Below are 22,546 nucleotides of genomic sequence, written 5' to 3'. Positions count from 1 at the left end.
AAGAATAAAAAAGACTAAACAAAATCTCCAAGAAATATGGGATTATGTAAAGAGACAGAACCTACGACTGATTGGGGTACCTCAAAGAGATGGGGAGAATGGAATCGAGTTGGAAAACATACTTTAGGATATCATCCAGGAGAACTTCCCCAACCTAGCAAGACAGGCCAACATTTAAATTCAAGAAATTCAGAGAACTCCAGTAGGACACTCCATGAGAAGATCAATCCCAGGACACATAATGATCAGATTCTCCAAGGTTGAAATGAAAGAAAGAATGTTAAGGGCAGCCAGAGAGAAAGTCCAGGTCACCTACAAAGGGAAAGCCATAAGAGTAACAGTGGACCTCTCAGTGGAAACCCTCCAAGCCAGAAGAGATTGGGGGCCAATATTCAACATTCTTGAAGAAAATAATTTCCAGCCTAGAGCTTCATATCTGGTCAAACTAAGCTTCCTAAGCTAAAGAGAAATAAGATCCTTTACAAACAAGCAAATCCTGAGGGAATTTGTCACCCTCAGGCCTGCCTTGTAAGAGCTCCTGAAAGAAGCACTGAAAATTGAAAGAAAAAATTGTTACCAGCCACTACAAAAACACACTGAAATACACAGACCAGGGACACTATGAAGCAACCACATGCACAGTTCTGCAAAATGACCAGCTAGCATCATGATGACAGGATCAAATTCACACATAACAATACTAACTTTAAATGTAAATGGGCTTAATGCCTCAATTAAAAGACACAGAAAGGCAAGCTGGATAAAAGGCCAAGACCCATCACTATGCTGTCTTGAAAAGAGCCATCTGACGTGCAAATACACACATAGGCTCAAAATAAAGGGAAGGAGGAAAATTTACCAAGCAAATAGAAATCAAAGAAGGGGTTGCGATCCTAGTTTCTGACAAAACAGACTTTAAACCAAAAAGATCAGAAAAGACAAGGGCATTACATAATGGTGAAGGGTTCAATTAAGCAAAAAGAGCTAACTCTATTAATCTACATATGCACCCAACATAGGAGCACCCAGATTCATAAAGCAAAGAGTCACAAAGAGACTTAGACTCCCACACAATAATAGTGGAAGACTTTAATACCTCACTGACAATATTAGACAGATCATTGAGACAGAATACTAACAAAGATATTCAGGACCTGAACTCAGCTCTGGATCAAGCAGACCTGATAGATACCTACAGAGCTCTCCAGCTCAAAACAACAGAGTATACATTCTTTTCATCACCACGTGGCACCTTAAAATTGATCACGTAATCAGAAGTAAAACACTCCTCAGCAAATGCAAAAGAATTAAAATCATAACAAACAGTCTCTTAGACGGCAGCACAACCAAATTACAACTCAAGATTGAGAAATTCACTCAAAGCCACACCATCAAATGGAAATTGAACAACCTGCTCCTGAATGACTCCTAGAAAAATAACGAAATTAAGGCAGAAGTCAAGAAATTCTTTGAAACCAATGAGAACAAAGAGACAATGTACCAGAATCTCTGGGACACAACTACAGCAGTGTTAAGAGCGAAATTTATAGCACTAAATGCCCACATCAGAAAGTGGGAAAGATCTAAAATTGACACTCTAACATCACAATTAAAAGAGCTGGAAAGGCAAGAACAAACAAATTCAAAAGCTAACAGAAAAAAAGAACTAAGATCAGAGCAGAACTGAAGGAGATGCAGAAATAAAAACTCTCCAAAAAATCAATGAATCCAGGAGCTCGTGTTTTGAAAAAAATACACAATCAATAGACCACTAGCTAGACTAATAAAGAAGAAATGAGGGAAGAATCAAATAGACACACAAAAAAATGATTAACTCCACCGAAATACAAACTACCATCAGAGAATACTATAAACACCTCTATGCACATAAACTAGAAAATCTAGAAGAAATGAACAAATTCCTGGACACACACACCTTCCCAAGACTAATTCAGGAAGAAGTTGAATTCCAGAATCGACCAATAACAAGTTCTGAAATTGAGGCAGTAATTAATAGCCTACTGATCAAAAAAAGCCCAAGACCAGGTGGATTCTAGGACGCAAGGCTGGTTCAACATTTGCAAATCAATAAACACAATACATCACATAACCAAAACCAAAGACAAAAACCACATGATTATCTCAATAGATGCAGAAAAGGCCTTTGATAAAATTCAACATCCCTTTATGTTAAAAACTCTCAAACTAGGTATTGGTGAAACACCGCAAAATAATAAGAGCTATTTATGACAAACCCATAGCCAATATATTGAATAGACAGAAATGGTACGACGGACATAATACTATTGCACCCCTACTAGACTACAGTGTAGTATAAACATAAACTTTAGATGCACTGGGAAACCAAACACTTCCGTCTGACTTGCTTTATTGCAGTGGCCTGGAACTGAATCCACGATATCTGAGGTATACCACTATTTGAACTGAATAAAATTGGTAGCTTTCACTTTGTTTTTACTTCTTCAGCAATCATAACAAATTTTGGTGTATTTAAAGTACAGCAAGGTAATTATTATCTTCAAAGAGCCCCTAAATTAGTAGAGAAGAGAATACCTATAAAAATGTAAAAACAATGCTGGTAAATAATGACAAATGGCATAATAAGGGAATAGATCCAATGGTTAAGAATTGCACAAAAATAAAAATCACTCTATTTAGAATTGGAAAAAGCACCAGGAATGGTATCTTATTTTAACAAAATTTGTAAAACTCAAAAGGCTGACATAAGTGATGGGCTCTGGGTATATGAACAGGCTGAGCAAGAGTGGAGTGTAGAAATTTCCCAGAGAATTGAGAAATACTTTTATGACTTGTATGTCAGAGAGTACACAGCAAACATAGCGCAATGTTAAGACTATAGATCTGGAGTGGTTTCTAGCCTCCACTCCTGGTTATTTCCTACTGATTAGCTGTGGGGCATTAATGAAGTCACTTAACATCCCTGAACTGGAGTTTTCTCATAGATGGAATGGGACTAGTGATACAACTGATTTACAACTATTGAGATAGAATTTTTTGTTAGTGGAAGAAAGAGATGGATAGATAAAAAGATGAGATAAGTCTGGGGAAAGAAATCAGGTCTTTTAGAGATGTACATTAGGGATTTAGAACTTCTTGCCATAGGGCATGTAAAATTTAACTTGGATTACATGAACTGGTTAATGCACATGATACAATTATTTAAATTAATTAAATTCAGAAAAATTATTAACTTTTGCTTACTAGATTACCTATGACAATGAACTTTCTGACATTGAAAACGCAAAGATAAGTAATAGCTACAATGTATTTTCAGGTCCCTATATAGTTGATATTTTATTAGATTCTACATGCTACTAGAACATTCAAATAGATACAGTTAAGATAGAGCAATGAGAATAAAACATTTCAAAATCTAATTTCCCTTAACATATTAATTTAACGTGATGTTAAAATATTTTATATAATCAATATCATATAACAAATTTTATAATAAAATATTCTTCGTTATGACAAAACTATTTTTCCTTGACTGGATTTACAAATGGTTGAGAGCAGTTATTTGCCTTTGACTCTTGTGGAGACCACAATCTGCTGGTTTACATTATTTATTTGTTTAGAGACTCATTTCCCTAATTAACTGAACAGAGGCAAACTTCACAGGTTCCAGAAATTAATGATATTTTATTGGCCTAGTAGTCCAGATAAAAAGGGAATTTCTGACAGGATGATTTAGATAATTGTCTCAATTTGCTTCATAGCTTTCTACTTATTGATACATCATTAGAGTTTACCTCGTGTATTCTCACAGGCACAGGTAATCAGTTGAATATATCTATAGGTGATTCAGCCTGTGTTAAGTGCCTCCTCAGTAAAGTATGTGCACATGATTGCATTGTTGAAGGTACATTACCAATAAAGATACCATGAAATTGCAAATCAATTCATAGATTTGTTAAAAACACTCAAACTTTTTCTTAAGAAAAATAGCTTTTTCTGTGTTTTAATTTTTTTCTCAATGATAATGTCAGCGTTAAAAAGATACACTCAGGTGCCTCGATGCTTCCTCTCTGTAAGTTGTATCTTGGTAAGTATTCAGAACAAAAAATAAGCATACAGATTTCTTAAACTTCGTTTTGGTAAAAGCTAACACACAAATACACACACACTAGCCTAGGCCTACACTGGGTCAGGATCATCAACATCAGTCTTCCATCTCCACATCTCCTCCCACTGGAAGGTCTTCCGAAGCAATACCACACATGGAGCTGTCATCTCCCATGGTAACAATGCCTTCTTCTGAAATAGCTCCTGAAGGACCTGCCTCAGGCTATTTTAGTTAACTTTTTTGTTTGTAAGTAGAAGGAATGCATTCTAAAATAATGTCAAAAATCATAGTATACTAAACACATAAACCAGTAACATAGTTGTTCATTATCAACTTTTATGTACTATGTATACTTAAATGTGCTATACTTTTTTTTTTTTTTGAGACAGAGTCTCGCTCTGTCGCCAAGTCTCGAGTGCAGTGGCGCGATCTCGGCTCACTGCAAGCTCCACCTTCCGGGTTCACCCCATTCTCCTGCCTCAGCCTCCCGAGTAGCTGGGACTACAGGGGCCTGCCACCACCCCTAGCTAATTTTTTCTATTTTTAGTAGAAACGGGGTTTCACCGTGTTAGCCAGGATGGTGTCGATCTCCTGACCTCGTGATCTGCCCGCCTTGGCCCCCCGAAGTGCTGGGATTACAGGTGTGAATCACCACGCCTGGCCTATATGCGCTATACTTTCATAGAACCAGGAGCTCAGTAGGTTTGTTTACGCCATCATCACTACAAACACGTGAGTATTGCGTTGTATTACAAGGTTAAGACGGCTATGCTGTCAGTAGACAATGAGGATTTTTCAGTTTCATTATAATTTTATAGAACTACCCTGATACATGCAGGCCATCACTGGTGAAACCTTGTTATGTAGTGCATGACTGTATTATATTGGAAGAAAGAGTGAGATAATATGCTGACACTCACACCGGGCTCATGCGCCAGTAGGAGGAGGTCGCCCTCCAGAGACTGCAGGAGAAGGGGGAGAACTCCTCCTTGCCCTGGCTGTTCCTCCACCACTTCCACCGAGGCCTGTGGTACAGCACCCGAAGCTTCCTACCCACCCTAGGCCTGGCCGGGCAGGCCCCGCAGCGCTCCTACTCCCTCTTCCCGGCCCCTGGACTTGCGGCTGCTGCCACAACTAGCGCAGATGTCACTATAACCATCGCTGCTGTTGCCCTCAATGCACTGGCCCACCCTACAAAGCTCCTACTACCTGGCCACCGCCGCAGCCCTGCCCCTGCCATGGCCACAGCTGGCCGTCCTCCTACCGCTCTGGTGCGAGGTAGTCTCGGTAGCTGCCACCAACCGCAGCAAGGCGAGCAGCAGCCCCAGGCTATCTGCAAGCTTCCAGCATGTAACTCCTCCTCCTCCTGGCATGGAACAGCTGGACACACACAGCCAAAAAAGCCTAGAGGAGAATGCAGAGACTGATAGCGTTAGAGCCTCACCTTGTCATCCTGGCCACTGGGTGGCAGGGGCCAGTCTCAGTGAAGGCACTCATATCCACCCTCCAAAGTCCAGCCTCTCCTTTTGGCTCAAGCGGGCCAGGAACTGGGACCTGGAGTGGTGACTGGTAACATCACACTGCCTGGCTCCAATCCACAGGAACCGCTGGGCCCACCAGGACTGCGCTCCTTGGGGAACAAAATCAGCAGGAACTCAGACACAGCCAGCCCTCCCACCCAAATGCCGGTTCCCCATCCCAATGCCTCCACCCACAGAGCCCTGTCTCCCCGTGGTGTCCCCGCCACTCCGTGTCCAGCGTGCCTAGGGGTGCCAGGTGGTCTCCGCAACACAGAGCGAAAAGGGCATGGCCCCGGGAACCCCGGCGGGTAAGGGGTCCTTGCCGTGCTCAGGATTACTGCGGAAACGCCGTGCGCTCGCTGCGCTCTAGCAGGAGCAGGAGGAGATCGCCTTTTAGAGTCTGAAATCCAGAAAGAGGAAGAAGGCTCCTTCCTTGGAGACCCTGTTGCTGCAAGCTCTGCCGCCACCAGCAAGGCAGCCCCTGATGGCGCCCCTAATCCGCTGCCTGATGTTGGCTCTGGGATAGCGCCCCCAACACCGCCCCTCGCCGCTGCAATGTAAAACCCAATAGCGCCCCCAACCCATCCCTGCCTCGGACGTCGCAGCACCAGATAACTCCCCCATCCTACCGTCTGCCGTCGGCCATGCAGCCACGGATAGGACCTCCAGCTAACCCCCGGCTGCGGGCAGTGATGCCCCGGAGAGCACGGCCACCTGCTCCATGCCGTCAATAGTGCAGCCATGGATCCTTAAGGTCCCCAACCCCCTCCCCACGACGAGCAGTGCAGCCCTACATAGCAGATAGCACCCCCAACTGTCCCCCACCCAGGGGGAATGATGCCCTGGATAGTGCACCCCACCCGCACCCCGCCATGGGCAGTGCAGCCTCCGACAGCACCCCTAACCTGTATACCGCTGCCAAAAATATGGTCCCCGATAGCACACCAAACCCAGCCCCCACCACAAACAGTGCAGCAGCTGATAGAGCACCTAACTCGCCCCACCGCCACTGACCACAGTGCAGCCCCCGAACGGTGCCCACAACCCACCCCACCACCCCGCCTGCCACCGGCCGGGTATCACCCCCAAACCGCCCCTTGCTGTGAGGAGTGTATCCCCTAGTAGCGCACCCAAACCTGCCCTCTATCATGGGCAGTCTGGCCCGATAGCGCCCGAAACCGCACCCTCCAAGCACCTACCCGCACCCACCGCTGCCCCGCCCCACCACCAGCAGTGTAGCATCTGATACTGCCTCTAACCTCTCCCCTGCCATGGACATTGCAACCCCACATAGCGCCCCCAACAAGCCCCCACCATGGGCAGTGCAGCCCCAGATAGCATCCCCACCCCGCTGTCGGCAATGAAGCCCGACCAGTAAGCACCCCCACCAGTCCGCACCCTAACCAGCCCTCCCACCACCATGCCGCCGGCAGTGCAACCACAATAGCAGCCCCAACCCGGCCCCTGTCGCGGGCAGTGCAGCACCCAATAGCACCCCCAACCAGCCCTACTGCTGCCATCAATACAGCCCAAGATAGTGACCCCAACCCGCCCCCCACCAACCCCCCCCCACCCGCTGCTGAGGGCAGTGCAGCCCCGGATAGCACACCTAAAAGCAGTGACGCCCAAAATAACACTCTAGTACACCCAAAGCAGTGACACCTGGAATAATACCCCAACCAGCCCCCGCCGCGGGCAGCCCTGGATAGCTTACCTACCCCATTGCCTTTCTACACTCTGGCCAGCTGCAGTATCCGTCGCTGCCACCAACCACAGCGAGGCCAGCCAGGGAGGCGAGCCAGCGAGGCCAGCCGCAGTCCTGCAGGCTCTAGCCTCCAGCCTATGGTAGGTGCTTTCTCCTTCTTTCCTTCCTGTAGCCAAGCACGGAGCAGCTGTCACTGCCAGCTGCCTCTCTCCATTGCCACCACACACCATTCAAGGCTCCAGGGCTCCAGGTTCCAGGCTCCAGCCTGCGGCAGCACAATCTGCTGCCGCTTTCTCCAAACTCTGCGGCAGAAGTACAGGTTAACACACGATAGCCTGCAACAGCGCGACGCCCCCTTAGCATACCTTATATACTGGGGGGTTGTGCAGGCCTGGTTCTCGGACTTCACGTTCTGATTGGATGAGAGAAACATCTACGCCTACTCTGATTGGACGTTATTTTCATGTTCTGATTGGATCAGAACAAGTCTTAGGCTAACCAATCAGAACGTGACAATAAAGTCCAATCAGAGTAGGCCTAGTGTTTTCCTCTCATCCAATCAGAACATGTAGTTTATAATCTCGGTATATAAAGCATGTTAAGAGATAGAGTTGCACTATTCCAGCCTCGTCGGCATCTGACTTCATAGCTGCTCCATTGCCAGCTTGGAGTAGGAGGTGCCAGCCACTGCATGCTGGAGGCTGCAGCCTACCGGGCTGTGGCTGGCCTCCCTGGCTCACCACCTCGCCGGCTTGCCTCGCCTTGCCTCGCTGGCTTGCCTTGCCCGCTGCGGTTGGTGGCAGCGATGGACACTGCAACCGGCCAGAGTGTAGAAAAGCGTCGGGGTAAGTGCGCTATCCAGGGCTGCACTGCCCTTGGCCTGGGACGGGTTGGGGGCCCTATCTCAGGCGTCACTGCCCACCTTGGGTGGCTGGTTAGGTGTGCTATCTGGGGCTGTGCTGCCTGCACCCAGGGGTGGTTTGGGGGCCCTAACCGGGGCTGCACTGCCCTCGGCGGGGAGCCTGTTGGGGAAACTATCCCAGACTGTATTGCTGGCAACAGTGAGGTGGGCTAAGTGTCCTATCCAGGGCTGCACTGCACGGCTGTTGCGGGGGGGTGGTGGTTTCAGGTTGAGGGTGCTATGGGGTGCTGCAATGCCCGTGGTTCGGGGAGGCGGGGCGGTTTGGGTGTGTTGGGTGCGCTATTGCGGGGGGGCTACACTGCTGGTGGCAGGGGGCAGGGTGGGTTGGGGGCCATATCAGGGGCTGCACTGATTGCTTTAGCTAGGGTTTCCAGTACTATGTTAAATAACAGTGGTGACAGTGGGCATCCTTATCATGTTCCAGATCTTAGAGGAAAAGCTTTCCATTTTTCCCCATTCCATATGATTCTAGCTGTGGGGGTCTCTCATGTGGTTTTTATTGTGTTGCAGTATGTTTCTTCTGTACCCGTTTTTTGAGGATTTGTAGTATGTTCCCCAAATTGAATATACCATTTTTTAAAAAGAGACTGAGTCTTGCTGTTATGTTGCCCAGGCTGGTCTCAAACTTCTGGACTTACGCGATCCTCTTCTGCCTCAGCCTTCAGATAGCTGCAGCTATAAGCATGCACCACCGCACCCAGCTTGAAGATACTGTATTTTTAATTCCATATTGTCAAGCGTTTAAGTTACTTTTCTTTAAAAAATTAATATTAATTCAAAGGAAGAAATTGGCAGAGTGAAAAGACAACCTACAGAATGGGAGAAAATATTTGCAAAGTATGTATCCAGCAGAGGATTAATATCCAGAATATACAAGGAACTCTTGACATCTCAATAGCAAAAAAAAAAAAAAAAAAGAATCCAACTGAAAAATGGGCAAATGACCTGAATAGATATTTCTTAAAAGATGACAGACACATGACCAACAAATATGTTTTCCTAAAAAGCTCAACATCACTAGTCATCAGGGAAATGCAAATCAAAACCACAATGAGGTGTCATCTCACCCCACTTAGAATGGCTACTATCAAAAAGACAAAAAATAGCAAATGCTGGCAAAGATGTGGAGAAAAGTGAACACTTAAATGGGGCTAGTGGAAATGTAAACTAGTACAGCCACCATGGAGAACAGTGTGGAGGTTCCTCAAAAAACTGCAAATAGAACTATTATATGGTCCAACAATATATTATTGGACATTTATCCAAAGAAAAGGAAATCAGTATATTGACGAGACATCGGCACCCCCGTGTTTATTGCAGCACTATTCACAATAGCCAAGATATGGAATCATCCTAAGTATCTAACAACAGATGAATGCATAAAGAAAATATGGTATACATACACAATGGAATACTATTTAGCCATAAGCAAGAATGAAATCCTGTAGTCTGAGGCACATGGATTGAACTGGAGGACATCATATTAAGTGAAGTAAGCCAGGGACAGAACATTAAGTACTGTGTGTTCTCATTCATTTGTGGAAGCTAAAAAAACGTTGATCTCATAGAGGTAAAAAGTAGAACAGAATACTACAGGCTGGGAAGCATAGGGTGCAGGGATGGTAGAAAGCAATTTGTTAAAGGTTTCAAAATTACAGCTAGATAGGAAGAGCAAGTTCTAGTGTTGTATAGCACTGTAAGATGACTGTAATTAACAACAATATGTTACACAGTTTCAAAGAGTTAGGAGGAGGATGTTGAATGTTCCCAGCACAAAGAAATGATAAATGAGATTATGGATATGCTAATTACCTCGATTTGATCTCTGCAAATCTATGGGAATGTTACTATGTTATTCATAAATACTAATAAATACATCAAAAATTTTAAAATTAATAATGAACAAAAGATAAGGGGCCCTGAACTCTAGCTTTAGGGCTGAATTGTATCCAGTCAGATGGTTTATATGTTATTTAAACTTTCACTTTAAATTTGGAGTGGAAATATGTTTGGAAATCCTTACTTTTAGTATGTTGATTTGTGTGTGTGCGTGAGGTAAATTTGGTTGGCTATTGGCAAATGTACTGGGTAGCTACTTAATGAAACATTTCCTTCCAGTGTTTCAGCTTTCTGATTCTTAGAACATGTGTATATTTAACAAAATATGCATTATCACTTTTGAAAGTAGTTATTCTAACACTTATTTGTGCTAAATTAGAATATGAATTTGGGAACTATTACTCTTTTCTATGGTCTGGAATAATTTAAGTAATAGAAATTATCTGATTAGATAGAAATTCATTGTAAAATCATCAAGTTTAGAAGCTCTTAAGATTTCCTTTGACTTTTGCTTATTAGTTTTAAAGAAAAAAATAAATTGACATAATGGAAATTTTCACTATACATCAGGAAGGGAATTCAGTGGAAAAGTAAGCTTCCTACTCCCTCTTGACCTTCAGTTTATACTTTTCTTCCTAAGTCAAGTACTGCTACTGGTTTCTTATGCTGTTTCTAGAACTAGCTTATCTATTGTCTACTTAAAATAACTCTTTAATCCTTTTATTTGAGCTGCCTTATGGATCTATGTAGTTTTTCTGTCTCTCTTTAAAATTTTTTATGCGGTAGAATACATATAACATAAAATTTACCATCTTAGCCATTTTTAAGTACACAGTTTAGTAGCACTATCTTTCACATTGTTGTGCAACCAATCTCCAAAACCTTTTCATCGTGCAAAACAAATTCTGTGTCTATTCAACTGCTCTCCATTCTTTCCTACCTGCAATTCCTGCAACCATCCTTCTACTTTCTGTCTCTCTGAATTTCACTATGTCACATAAGTGGAATCATACAGTATTTGTCTTTTTGACATGGGCTTATTTTACTTAGCATAATGTCCTCCAGTTCCATTCATGTTGCCTTGAAAGGCAGGATTTCATTCTTTATGGCTGAAATAGTGTTCATCTTGTTGTAGCATGTCAGGATTTCCTTCCTCTTGAAAGCTGAATGATATCGTATGTATATACCAACATTTTGTTGATCTAAATGTATCTGTCAATGGATTTTTCGGTTGTTTCCACCTTTTGACTATTATAAATAATGCTACTATGAACATGGGTGTGCCAGTAACTTCAAGGCCCTGCTTTCATTCTTCCGAATATACATCCAGAAGCGGAATTGCTGGATCATATGGTTATTCTATTTTTAATTTTTTGAAGAATTTCTATTATTTTTAAAGTCACTTTTCATGGTTTGTTCTTTCCTACAAAACATGTTTTTCAATTTTATCAGTGCAGAGTTGTATATAATATTTATATATTTTACTTGTACAATTAAAGGCTGTATTTTATTTCTATATTATCATATAATTACCTTCAGTATCTATGTTTGTAACTGTTTCCTCATTTCTTTTTTTCCTCGTTCACGTTTACTATTTTATTGGTCTTTAAAACCTAGGCTTTCTTTTTTTTTTTTTTTTTTTTTTGAGACAGAGTCTTACTCTGTCGCCCAGGCTGGAGTGCAGTGGCACGATCTCCGCTCACTGCAAGTTCCGCCTCCCAGGTTCACACCATTCTCCTGACTCAGCCTCTCCTGAGTAACTGGGACTACAGGTGCCCGCCACCACGGCCGGCTAATTGTTTTTTTATGTTTTTAGTAGAGACGGGGTTTCACCATGTTAGCCCAGGATGGTCTCGATCTCCCAACCTCGTGATCCGCCCACCTCGGCCTCCCAAAGTGCTAGGATTACAGGCATGAGCCACCATGCCCAGCCTACTTCTTTTTTTGTCATTTCTAATTGACTGGTAAGTACATTATATCATTACTGCAGCAGATTTATGTTACAGTGTTTTACCTGTTTATGTTAGAATCAGTTTATGTTTCTGGAATCTGGAATAGGATAATACCTATTTGATTTGAAATTGGACAGAGAGTAGCTTTATGTTGGTCCAGATAATCTCATTTCTCATTTGGACAAGATATTTGAGGGTTTGAAAAATTCCTGTGATGATTAAAGGAGAAAACTCTTGTGAGTTATTGTATGCTGAGACACACACACACACACACACACACACACACGCAGTTTATTGCATTGTTGGGTTTTATACATAAAATTACCCAAGTTGCAAATATATGTCTTACAACTTTGACTCTCAGGATAGTGCAGCAGGATGAAGCGCAACCGCCCCCGCCCCCCCTCCCCGATTTGCCAACAAGGGCAGACCAAACTAGAAGTGTGGCGCTGTACATGTTTCTGTGGAACCCTGACAGTGAAGCTGTTCTGGTTGCCATGTCCTGTTTCCGCCACCTCTGTGAGGAAGCAGATACCTGGTGTGGGGTGGATGAAGTGTCAGTGCATCACCTCTTGCCCAACTGTAGCACATTCATGGAGTTTGCCTCTGTCAGCAATGTGATGTCAACAGGTAAATGTGAATAGTGGTTTTTTTACTCAACCTGCCTGAAGCACGTGGCATCTAATTGTGAGAATGTATTTAAGGTTACTACTTTGTAAGTTTACAGGGGAGATTCAAGTAGCTTACTTGAAATCCTTTTCTGAACAAAGAAATGAAACAAAGATGAAAAGAAAAAGCATTTGAAATAGTCTCCCAGTGAGTTTTTAATATGCTATATGTTTTAAAAATAACTGGCAGTATATGTTACTATCAGTTGTGATCATATAATTTACCCCACCTAAGTTGTAGATAGTGAAGTTTTATGCACATTGGCATATGTTTTGAGTAAATTATAGGTGGGAATAGCTATTTTGTGCTGTGGACATTGTAGAGTTTAAGATAAGTACCTTTCCTGTGAGGTTAGTGAAAGGAAGTTTTTGGCTTTATCATTTGAGGCATTTGCTCTGCTCCTCCTACTCTGCCTTTTGGGTAGGGCTTATGAGGTTCTCCATGGGCAGGCAGGGCTCTAAGTGCAGTGACTTGATTGGCTGTTGTATTTGCTTAGGAACAGCAGCACTTCAGAAAGAGTGATGGCACTGCGGAGGCGCACTTAGCATCCCACTGCAGGAAACACTGAGGTGTGCTCTTAGCAAGAGAAACACCCCTCCTAGGCGCCCACCCTCAATTTTGGAAACCTATTGTTACATATGTGTAATCAGGAATAGCTTTTGAAGTAAATCCAAGATATGTGCGTGTTAGAAGTGTAATATCTGAGTACTTATTATACATCAAGTTTGAAACTTGGCCATTGCTGGTTGACGTTTAGCTCTAGACTTAAAGTTGCTTTCAAGTGATAATTGCCTTCATTTTAGGCTTGGGAAGATACACATGCAAAATGGGAACAAGCAACAAAACTAATCTTTAACTATCCAAAAGCCAAAATGGATGACAGCCAGGTAAGTCTGTAAAGTTGACTTTTGTCTATTAACTGATCTGCTAAATATATGTCCTTCTCTTTGGTAATCTCTCACGAGTCACTCAGTAAAGTAAGCATATAGTTGTCTGAAGACTGATATTTAGTTGTGGTTTATCTAGACCTGTACTTCGTAATATGGTAGCCACTAGCTACGTGTGACTATTTAAATTTTAACATAATGAAAATTAAATACAATTTAGTTCCTCAATCATATAGTAGCCACATTGCAAGTACCCAGTAGCCACATATGACAGTCTGGACAGCAGAGAGAGAAAATGTTTCCATCATCACAGAAATACTGGGCAGCACTGCTAGAGACTGTTGCAGAGACCATTTATCTTTTCTTGCTCTTTATCCCTTCATCAGGGTGTTTCACAGAATTTTCAGAAAAGGAGCAACAGAGGTAGAGAAAAAAAACATGGAAACAATTCATTTTGCTATTTTGTTAAGTATTCTAATTAAGGAATGTCTTGGGCAAAAGATTGAACCCATAGATTAAATGAGATTTTAAAATGTGGACAGTTCATTCAACTATTACTATTGACTATATTATCTGTTACTCTGGAAATTGATGAGTTGGTGTTTGTGTGTAATTGATTTGTAATGTTCATATTCCTCCCATTATTAGGCAATTTATATAAACTGGTTATTCCCCCATGTTTTTTTCTGTCATACTTAATTACAATAAGAAAAATGTTATGTTTTTATGAAGCAAAATTGTGTACCTAATAGCTTTATTTGGAGGGGACATGTAGCTTTAGAATGAAAGCTTTTGGGGGGATAACTGTTTAATATACCATACAATTCACCCATTTAAAGTGTCCAATTCAGTGGCTGTTTTTAGTATATTCCCAGAGTTGTGCAACCATTACCACAGTCCGTTTTAGAACAATTTCATCAATTGAGGAAAAAAACCCCTGTATCCTTTAGCTATTTCTGCCTCTAACACCCTACCCCACCTCCCCGCCACTTTCTTGTCTCTCTTCCCCCGGCTTCTCCAGCCCTAGGCAACCTTGAATCTACTTTCTGTCTCTGCAGATTTGTCTCTGCTGGATCTTTTCTGTAAATGGAATTTTAGAATATGTGGGCTTTTGTGATTAGCTTCTTTCACTTAGCATAACGTTTCCAAGGTTCATCCATGTGAAATCAAAGCTTTTTAAAAGAAATTTGATACTTGGGCGATTATATTAGTGTATGACAAAAATAAATCAGTGGCTCTTTAAAAATGTATATGGTAATTTTTGGGGTTGATTTTAATGTGTTTTTTACATTTTTTGTACTTTTGTCATGGAAGAAATGTTGGATAAAGAGTAATTTGTCAAGTCTCAACTAATTTAGGTTTAATTCATGCTTTGCCCAAAAATTTTGTGTTTAGGCTGCTGAAAGTTTCACATGACCATTGTTAGGAGTCGAATGTCCCATCTGAGTGGAGGAGGATGCGCAGATTTGTCTGACACAGACTCCCTACAGGAATGGATCAACATGACTGGCTTCCTTTGTGCCCTTGGGGGAGTGTGCCTCCAGCAGAGAAGTAATTCTGGCCTGGCAACCTATAGCCCACCCATGGGTCCAGTCAGTGAATGTCAGGGTTCCATGATTTCAGTGATGTCCTCAGAGGGAAACGCAGGTACACCTGTCAGCAAATGTATGGATCAGCTGTTGTCCTTAATGGTGTGTAACCATGAGAAAGTGGGACTTCAAATACAGGCCAATGTTAAGGAACTGGTGGGTCTAGAATTGAGTCCTGCTCTTTATCTGATGCTATTTAACAAACTGAAGAATGCCATCAGCAAGTTTTTTGACTCCCAAGGACAGGTAAAGTGTGCTCTTTTTTATTTTTCACCTTGTTTGAAATAAGGAAGGCTTTTTCTTTCCAATTATTTAAATTAGGTGCTCACAGTTTTTAAAAATTGCCAAAAAATTGCAGAAAGAAGAGTCATCTCAATGTAGGGGTCAGCTTGCTTCTTAGGAACTCTGGTGTGTATGTGTGCCTGAGGGTATACCTGCCTTGTGTATGGGTATGAGTGTCTGCATGTATCTGTATGCTTGTTTGGCTGTGTGCCTGTGGGTGCACTTCTGTGTTTGTGTGTTTAGATCAGTCGGTTGCATCTCTCTAGAGGTCTGTCTTCTGGGCATTGATGGCAAATGATTAATATATTTGTTCTTTCTATAGGTTTTATTGACGGATACCAACACTCAATTTGTAGAGCAAACCATAGCTATAATGAAGAACTTGCTAGATAATCATACTGAAGGCAGCTCTGAACATCTAGGGCAAGCTAGCATTGAACCAATGATGTTATATCTGGTCAGGTAAGCGTTCTACTGAAATGTAGCAGAAACATACTTTAAGAGATCAGAAAAACCTCTTACACATTGATATTGGTAGTAATTGATAAAATAATTTGCCATTCTTTACTGCACACAAACTAGGGTGTGACAGTCAGGTAACCAGAAGGTGTGTATGTTCTCATAAAAATAAATATTGTTTTCAGACTTACATGTAGTTCATTTTATTTGATGACTAAAGTACTTTGAATGCTTTCTCTTTTGTCTATATCTGATAATTTTTTTATCGTCTCTGTGTCTGTATAGGTATGTTCGTGTGCTTGGGAATATGGTCCATGCAATTCAAATAAAAACGAAACTGTGTCAGTTGGTTGAAGTAACGATGGCAAGGAGAGATGACCTCTTATTTTGCCAAGAGATGAAATTTAGGTGAGTTCTCAAAAGAGCAATGTAGGGTCTTGTAAATCTTAATTTGTTGAATGAAGTACAGAAATAGAGTAGATATCTGGTTATTGGTAGGAAGGAAGACATAAAAAGAGAGCAATTTACACGTTTGTGTTTCTCTACGTCTCTCCTCAAATTTCCGTAAGCTTTGTGCCTGTGGCAAGCCTCCATTTTTCTAAAACTGTGCTGTACTTGAGCTAAGAATTTGATTCTGTTTCCAATTTGATACCATAAATAAGGGCCATGTTGGAGGTTAAATATCCACGTTGCTTGTTCCCTTCTGGCTTTTACGTCTGTGACATCAGTATCTCTTTTATAAAGTCGTCATGTCACCTGGGTTATCTGCCAAATTATTTGCACTGTAAGAAATCTTACACAATTAAAGGTGTGTGTGTGTGTGTGGCTTCAAAAAAATTGTTGGCTGTTTCTCTTTTCTCCGCCATTCTTTAGGAATAAGATTGTAGAATACCTGACAGTCTGGGTTATGGGAACATCAAACCAAGCAGCAGATGATGATGTAAAATGTATTACAAGGTAAAAAAGAGAATGACCTTCAAGTATTAGTGGGTTTTCCTGTAAGAATTATAATTACTTCATTACAGCTTTATACTTGTATTTTATGTGTATTTAAATTTTTTAGATGTCAAACTTTTGTGGTTGAAATATGTAAAGATACTAATCTTTATTACTACTTTTTTTTGACTGATAGACTTTCTGTAAAAATAAATGTGCGAGAGCGGTATGTTTGGGAAGTTAGTGTTGTCAGTTTATGAAGAATAGTCTACCGTTATTGGGAAATAAGGTACATAAAGCCTCAGATTGCATTTATGTTATGATTAGATAGAAAAAGGTATTATTTGAGGAACTCATTGTGTTGGTCTTTCTAAAAAATAATTGATTTCCTGATTCAGGCACCAGAGACAGAAAAAAAAGGAAGTAATTAAGTGTAATTAAGTCTGCTTTAATGATAAATGCTTATTGACACATATCAGAAAGTGATTAAACACTATGGACTGTATAATAAGCCTTTACATATGTTTCTTTGACCAAGCCTAGCTTTATAATATGGTCGTCTCTCAGTATCTGTCAGGAATTGGTTCCAGGAACCACCCCCCAAACTCCTGCCCACATCTCACTTCCATGAACACTAAAATCCACAGACTGAAGTCCCTGATACAAAATGTCATAGTATTTGCATATAAACTATGCACATCCTCCCATATATTTTAAATTATCATTAGATTACTTATAATATCTAATAAATATAAATCTTATATAAACACAAGTTGTTATACCATATTGTTTAGGGAATAACGACAAAGAAAAATCTTTACATGTTGAGTACAGATGAAACCCTACTTTTTTTTCCCCCAAATAGTTTCAATCCATGGTTGGTTGAATCCGTGGATACAGAACTCGCTGAGACAGAGGGCCAATTGTACATGCTTCTGATTGAAGATAGTCATTTTGCCAAGATTACTTTGTAGAAAGTTACTATTGTCTTCTCCTCATTTGAGATGATTTTGTATTCTAGGATCTGCATATTAATTCAAATTATTTGGGTTGTGCTAATAATTTGTTTAATGAAACAGGTAGTTCCTAAAGTTTATATCTGTTAATAAGAGGTTTATTTGAGAGGAAGTGAAATAACCTGAAAGATTTATGGTCTCTAATTTTTTTTTTTTCAGAGATTTGGACCAGGCAAGCATGGAAGCAGTAGTTTCACTTCTAGCTGGTCTCCCTGTGCAGCCTGAGGAAGGAGATGGTGTGGAATTGATGGAAGCCAAAGGGGACACAGTTATTTCTTAAGTAAATTTCAGTCACCAAAAAACACAAAGCAAAAGCAAATAAAGCCCCCCGCCGCCACACACACACACACACACACACACACACACACACACACACACTCAAAGACAAAACAAAACAAAAACAAAAAAACAAAAAAGAAAACAAAGAAATGTTCCCCATGCAGGACTAGGATTAGGAAAATAACTGTGTTTTATGATTTTTAAAGAAAATAATATGATCCCTGAAATTTTGCTTATAATAAAACCCAGATTGCTTCACTAAGTCATTTACAAAAGTGACATTGTGTAAGCTGTTTGGACCACTAATTTTATATACTAAACATTAAAAATGACACATTTACCAGGAAACATTGCATCTATTTGATGCTTATGTTATGAAAGGTATGCTAGGCTATATCAGGTATAATCATGCCCAACACAGCATGCTTCATAATGAGTCACCCTGGCTGATTATCCTGAGAGAGGAGAGAAGCAGTTAATCCAGGGCCAGTCACACCGTGCACATGTGATAGTTTTGGAATGTCTGGTTAGCTTTCTAGTTGATACGGCCTTTGCTATGTAAAGGTCAGTCTTTTTATTTCTCAGATACTTCACACTATTTATGAACCTTTTGAGTGACTGCAGTGAAGCTGAAGATGAAAGTGCACAAACAGGTGGCAGGAAACGTGGCATGTCTCGGAGGTTGGCATCACGGAGGCACTGTGCAGTCCTTGCAATGTCAAACTTACTCAGTGCCAGCATAGACGGTGGTCTCATGCACTCCATAGGTGAGATCAAATGAAAGTTTCATATAGAAATACACAGCCTAGAGAACTGGCTTGTAAGATAAGCAAAAATTACTTCAGTAAGGCCATGTTAGTAAATTTGCATCCATTTGTCCACATCAGGTTTAGGGTACTACAAGGATCTCCAGACAGCTACATTTATGGAAGTTCTGATGAAAATCCCTCAACAAGGCACAGAATTTGACACACTTCAGAAACGGTATTGGCTGATGGGTTTGAGCAATTGGTGGAACTGGTCACAGTGATGGGTGATCAAGGAGAGCTCCCTATAGCGATGGCTCTGGCCAGTGTGGTTCCTTGTTCTCAGTGGGTAAGTGCATAGAGTAAGTGGGGAAGAAAAGTGCCTGGCACATAGCAAATCCTTCAGAACATATTTGTTCAATAAATGTTTGTTGAATGAATTGATAAAATTTTAGAGCCAGAAGAAATCTTAGATGTTTAGTTAGGTGACTTTTCAGCTGTAGGGAAGTGGTTGGCACTGCTAGACCTGAATAGTGTCCTATATCATTTCATCCCACTGAAAAATTCCATTTAAACACTGATTAAAAATCACTGATCTACTCCGCTGTCTTCATATATTTGAGAAGGTAATTAAGTTAAACCTAATTTCAGTCAGTTGTTGCAACGCTGGAATTGGAATCCACGATTTGTGCCTGTTTACTACCTCCAGTTTGCTGTTCTTTTCCCCATAATATCTTACACAACTTTTAAAAATGTAAGCACTGTATTTGCATTTGATATTATGATATTGTTTGTTTTAAACACTGAAAACATCATATGGCTATTAGGTCTCTCTCTTAATTTAATGAAAAATTTTCCTCAAATCACATCATTCCTAATACATGTGAAAACGTTGAGAAGGGTGGTGGTTCCTTTCCAGTGTTAAAAGGCTATTTCCTTTTTAGTGTACCAAAAATGGTTTCACTTATAGTAAAGTATAACTAATAAGGTAATCTGTCATTGTAGATTTGTTTCTGCTTAAAGCTGTAGGATATTTGTTACACCTGTACTTAAAGTAAAATTCAAACTCCTTATCCTGTCCTACAAGGCTCCACCTGATTTGGGCCCTGCCTCATCTCTAACATCATCTTATGCCATTTTCCTTCTTGTTCACCAAAGCCACACCAGCTACCTTTCTGTCCCTCCTTGTTAGACTTGTTTCTGCCTTAAGCACCCTTGCTGCTGCTACCACCTGAAATGCTTCTCCTCTGGTATTTTATTTTGGTGAGAACGCCTAGCATGAGATCTACCCTCTAACATATTTTTAAGTGTAGAATACAGTATTGCTATCTGTAGGCAGAATGCTGCACCACAGATCTCTAGAACTTACTTTGTATAACTGAAATTTTATACTGATTGGTTAGCAACAGCGCCAAATCATTGAAATCTTCCTAAAGCCTAAAATTACTTCACAAACGTTCAAATGTTTTGAAAATGACTATTGTGAATTATCTTATTAGGATCTACCTATGATTAGCACTGAAAATACTCAGTAATTTTTTAAATAAAGAATCAGTTAAATTCAAGTAGCTTTAATTTGTTGTTGAGTTTTATATTAAATGACTTTGAGAAGGAATTTTCTATTAGGCCAGATCTCACCTATCACATTATTGTAATCCTGGGACCAGGCAAGAATTAGAGAGCTATGGGCCATGATCCTGGCCGTTGTTGTTACTGCTTGAGGATTGAGGCATCTTTTTATGGCTACCCCTATTCTCTATAAATTTCTTCTTGTGATTAAACAGTGATTTACCAGTAGATCATTTTTCTTGAGTGTACCCCAAACTGCTTTACTACAGGGAGTTACAAGGATGTCATTTAGGTAATTGGAATTTCAGCCCTCATCCCTGTCCCCCTTGCTTTGTATGTAAATCTGGCTGATCTCTGGGTTCTGAACGCCCAGTTCCTTTTCTTCCTGATTTCTCAAAAATCCTATAGTCTTTCTGTTTTTGTCATGTCTCTACCTAGTCTATGTTCAGCATTCACTGAGTTCCCCTGACTGTATGAGAAGAGAGTAGAACTCTTCTGATCATCAGTCTTATTTCTGCTCTGTGCAAATGCTTGTACAAATCAAACTAAAGTATTTGCTGTCATCTTCTGTTTCTGTTCTCTTTCATTTTGTGATGTAATTTGAACTGAATCTTGGAGATTTTGTCTCCTGGTAAAGCCTAGGCCTCTCTTAATAGCTTTCACCGGTTAATCCTTGGAATTAACAGCTATCGTAGACATCGTATATAGTCATCTATCATAAACAATATACGCAGATAAATCTCAGGAGAAATATTAATCAGTCACCTTTGCCTTAATTTAGCAAGTAGTTGTCAACTTTGGGTTTATGTTTTTGCCACTCTTCAGCTATCTACCTGAGAACAAAAATGCACTAACCTGATTTTGTTTTGTTCTCAGGATGAACTGGCTTGAGTTCTGGTTACTCTATTTGGTTCTTGGCATTTACTCTACCAACTGCTCTGGAACATGTTTTGTAAAGAAGTAGAATTGGCAGACTGACTCCATTCAGACTCTCCTCTGAGGCAACAGTTTGGCCAGTAAAATAATGACACTCTGTTTCAAGGTTTGTATCATTCATTTTGTGTGTGTGTGTGCTGAGGTATGTCAAGTAATGATTATGTACAGAATGTGCAGAGCTGATTGTCTTCTTTTAAGGTAAAATGTATGGAGCAGGCATAATGAAGTCCTACTCATGCATTTCTATAGGTATATGGTGCTACCTATCTATAAAAACTCCTGGATGCTTTATTACGAATTGAGATCACATCCTCTGATGGGCAACATGTTAGCTTTGAAGTGGATCCTACCAGTTTTATCATCTTTTCACATAAAAGTGCTCTTTTTTTTTTTTTTGCTAACACTGCATGAAGCAAGGCCCTCATAACTTCTCCTCTTGATCATTAAAATTTGTTTTTAATTATAAAAGTTATATACAAATATGCTTTTCTTTAATGATATCTGTAATTTTTTTTAAGTTATCCTTCTTTTTATCTGCCTTAGATCCAGGGACAGACAGGAGAAGGATGTCTTTGACTTCTACCTCCACAGACCGTTACTAGTTAAGGCTCTTTCCTTTTTCCATGACTTTACATATCACTTTACACAGTCACTTGCATGCTCTGTCACCCAGACTGGAGTGCAGTGGCACGATGGCTCACCGCAACCTCCACCTCCTGGGTTCAAGCGATTCTCGTGCCTCAGCCTCCCAAGTAGCTGAGATTACAGGCGTGCACCACCACGTCCAGCTAATTTTTCTATTTTTAGTAGAGATGGAGTTTCACCATGTTTGCCAGGCTGGTCTGGAACTCCTAACCTCAATTGATCCACCAGCCTCAGTCTCCCAGAATGCTGGGATTACAGGTGTGAGCCACCATGCCCAACCAGAGAATTGTCTGTTTTGAGATTAAAATTTGGGAGTTTTAAGAGAACCACTCAGTAGCAGTGATGGTCTATGAATATTCTAAAATTATGTGAAGAAATTTGTGTGAAAGCATACATCCATTTTTCTAACCTTTATCAGATTTCAAAGAGGTTCCTCATCCCCAGAAGGTTGAACACTATACTGGAATAGTCGAAGCACTCAAATTTT

The 22,546-nt window shown here is 40.8% G+C and overlaps 1 long non-coding RNA gene and 1 pseudogene across 1 annotated transcript; both read left to right on the top strand.

Annotated features, from left to right (window-relative positions):
- Window positions 1–12,025: 12,025 nt before the first annotated feature.
- On the top strand, window positions 12,026–15,319 carry LOC124900616 (uncharacterized). The gene is made up of 3 exons (XR_007068540.1): window positions 12,026–12,058; window positions 13,519–13,602; window positions 14,998–15,319. It is a non-coding gene; the product is annotated as an uncharacterized LOC124900616 (long non-coding RNA).
- Window positions 15,320–15,359: 40 nt separating this feature from the next.
- On the top strand, window positions 15,360–21,778 carry LOC102723592 (neurofibromin-like; annotated as a pseudogene).
- The last annotated feature ends 768 nt before the right edge of the window (window positions 21,779–22,546 follow it).

This window comes from Homo sapiens (assembly GCF_000001405.40).
Source record: "Homo sapiens chromosome 15 unlocalized genomic scaffold, GRCh38.p14 Primary Assembly HSCHR15_RANDOM_CTG1".
NCBI classification, from domain to species: Eukaryota; Metazoa; Chordata; class Mammalia; order Primates; family Hominidae; genus Homo; species Homo sapiens.
This window is presented reverse-complemented; position numbering and strand designations above follow the sequence as displayed.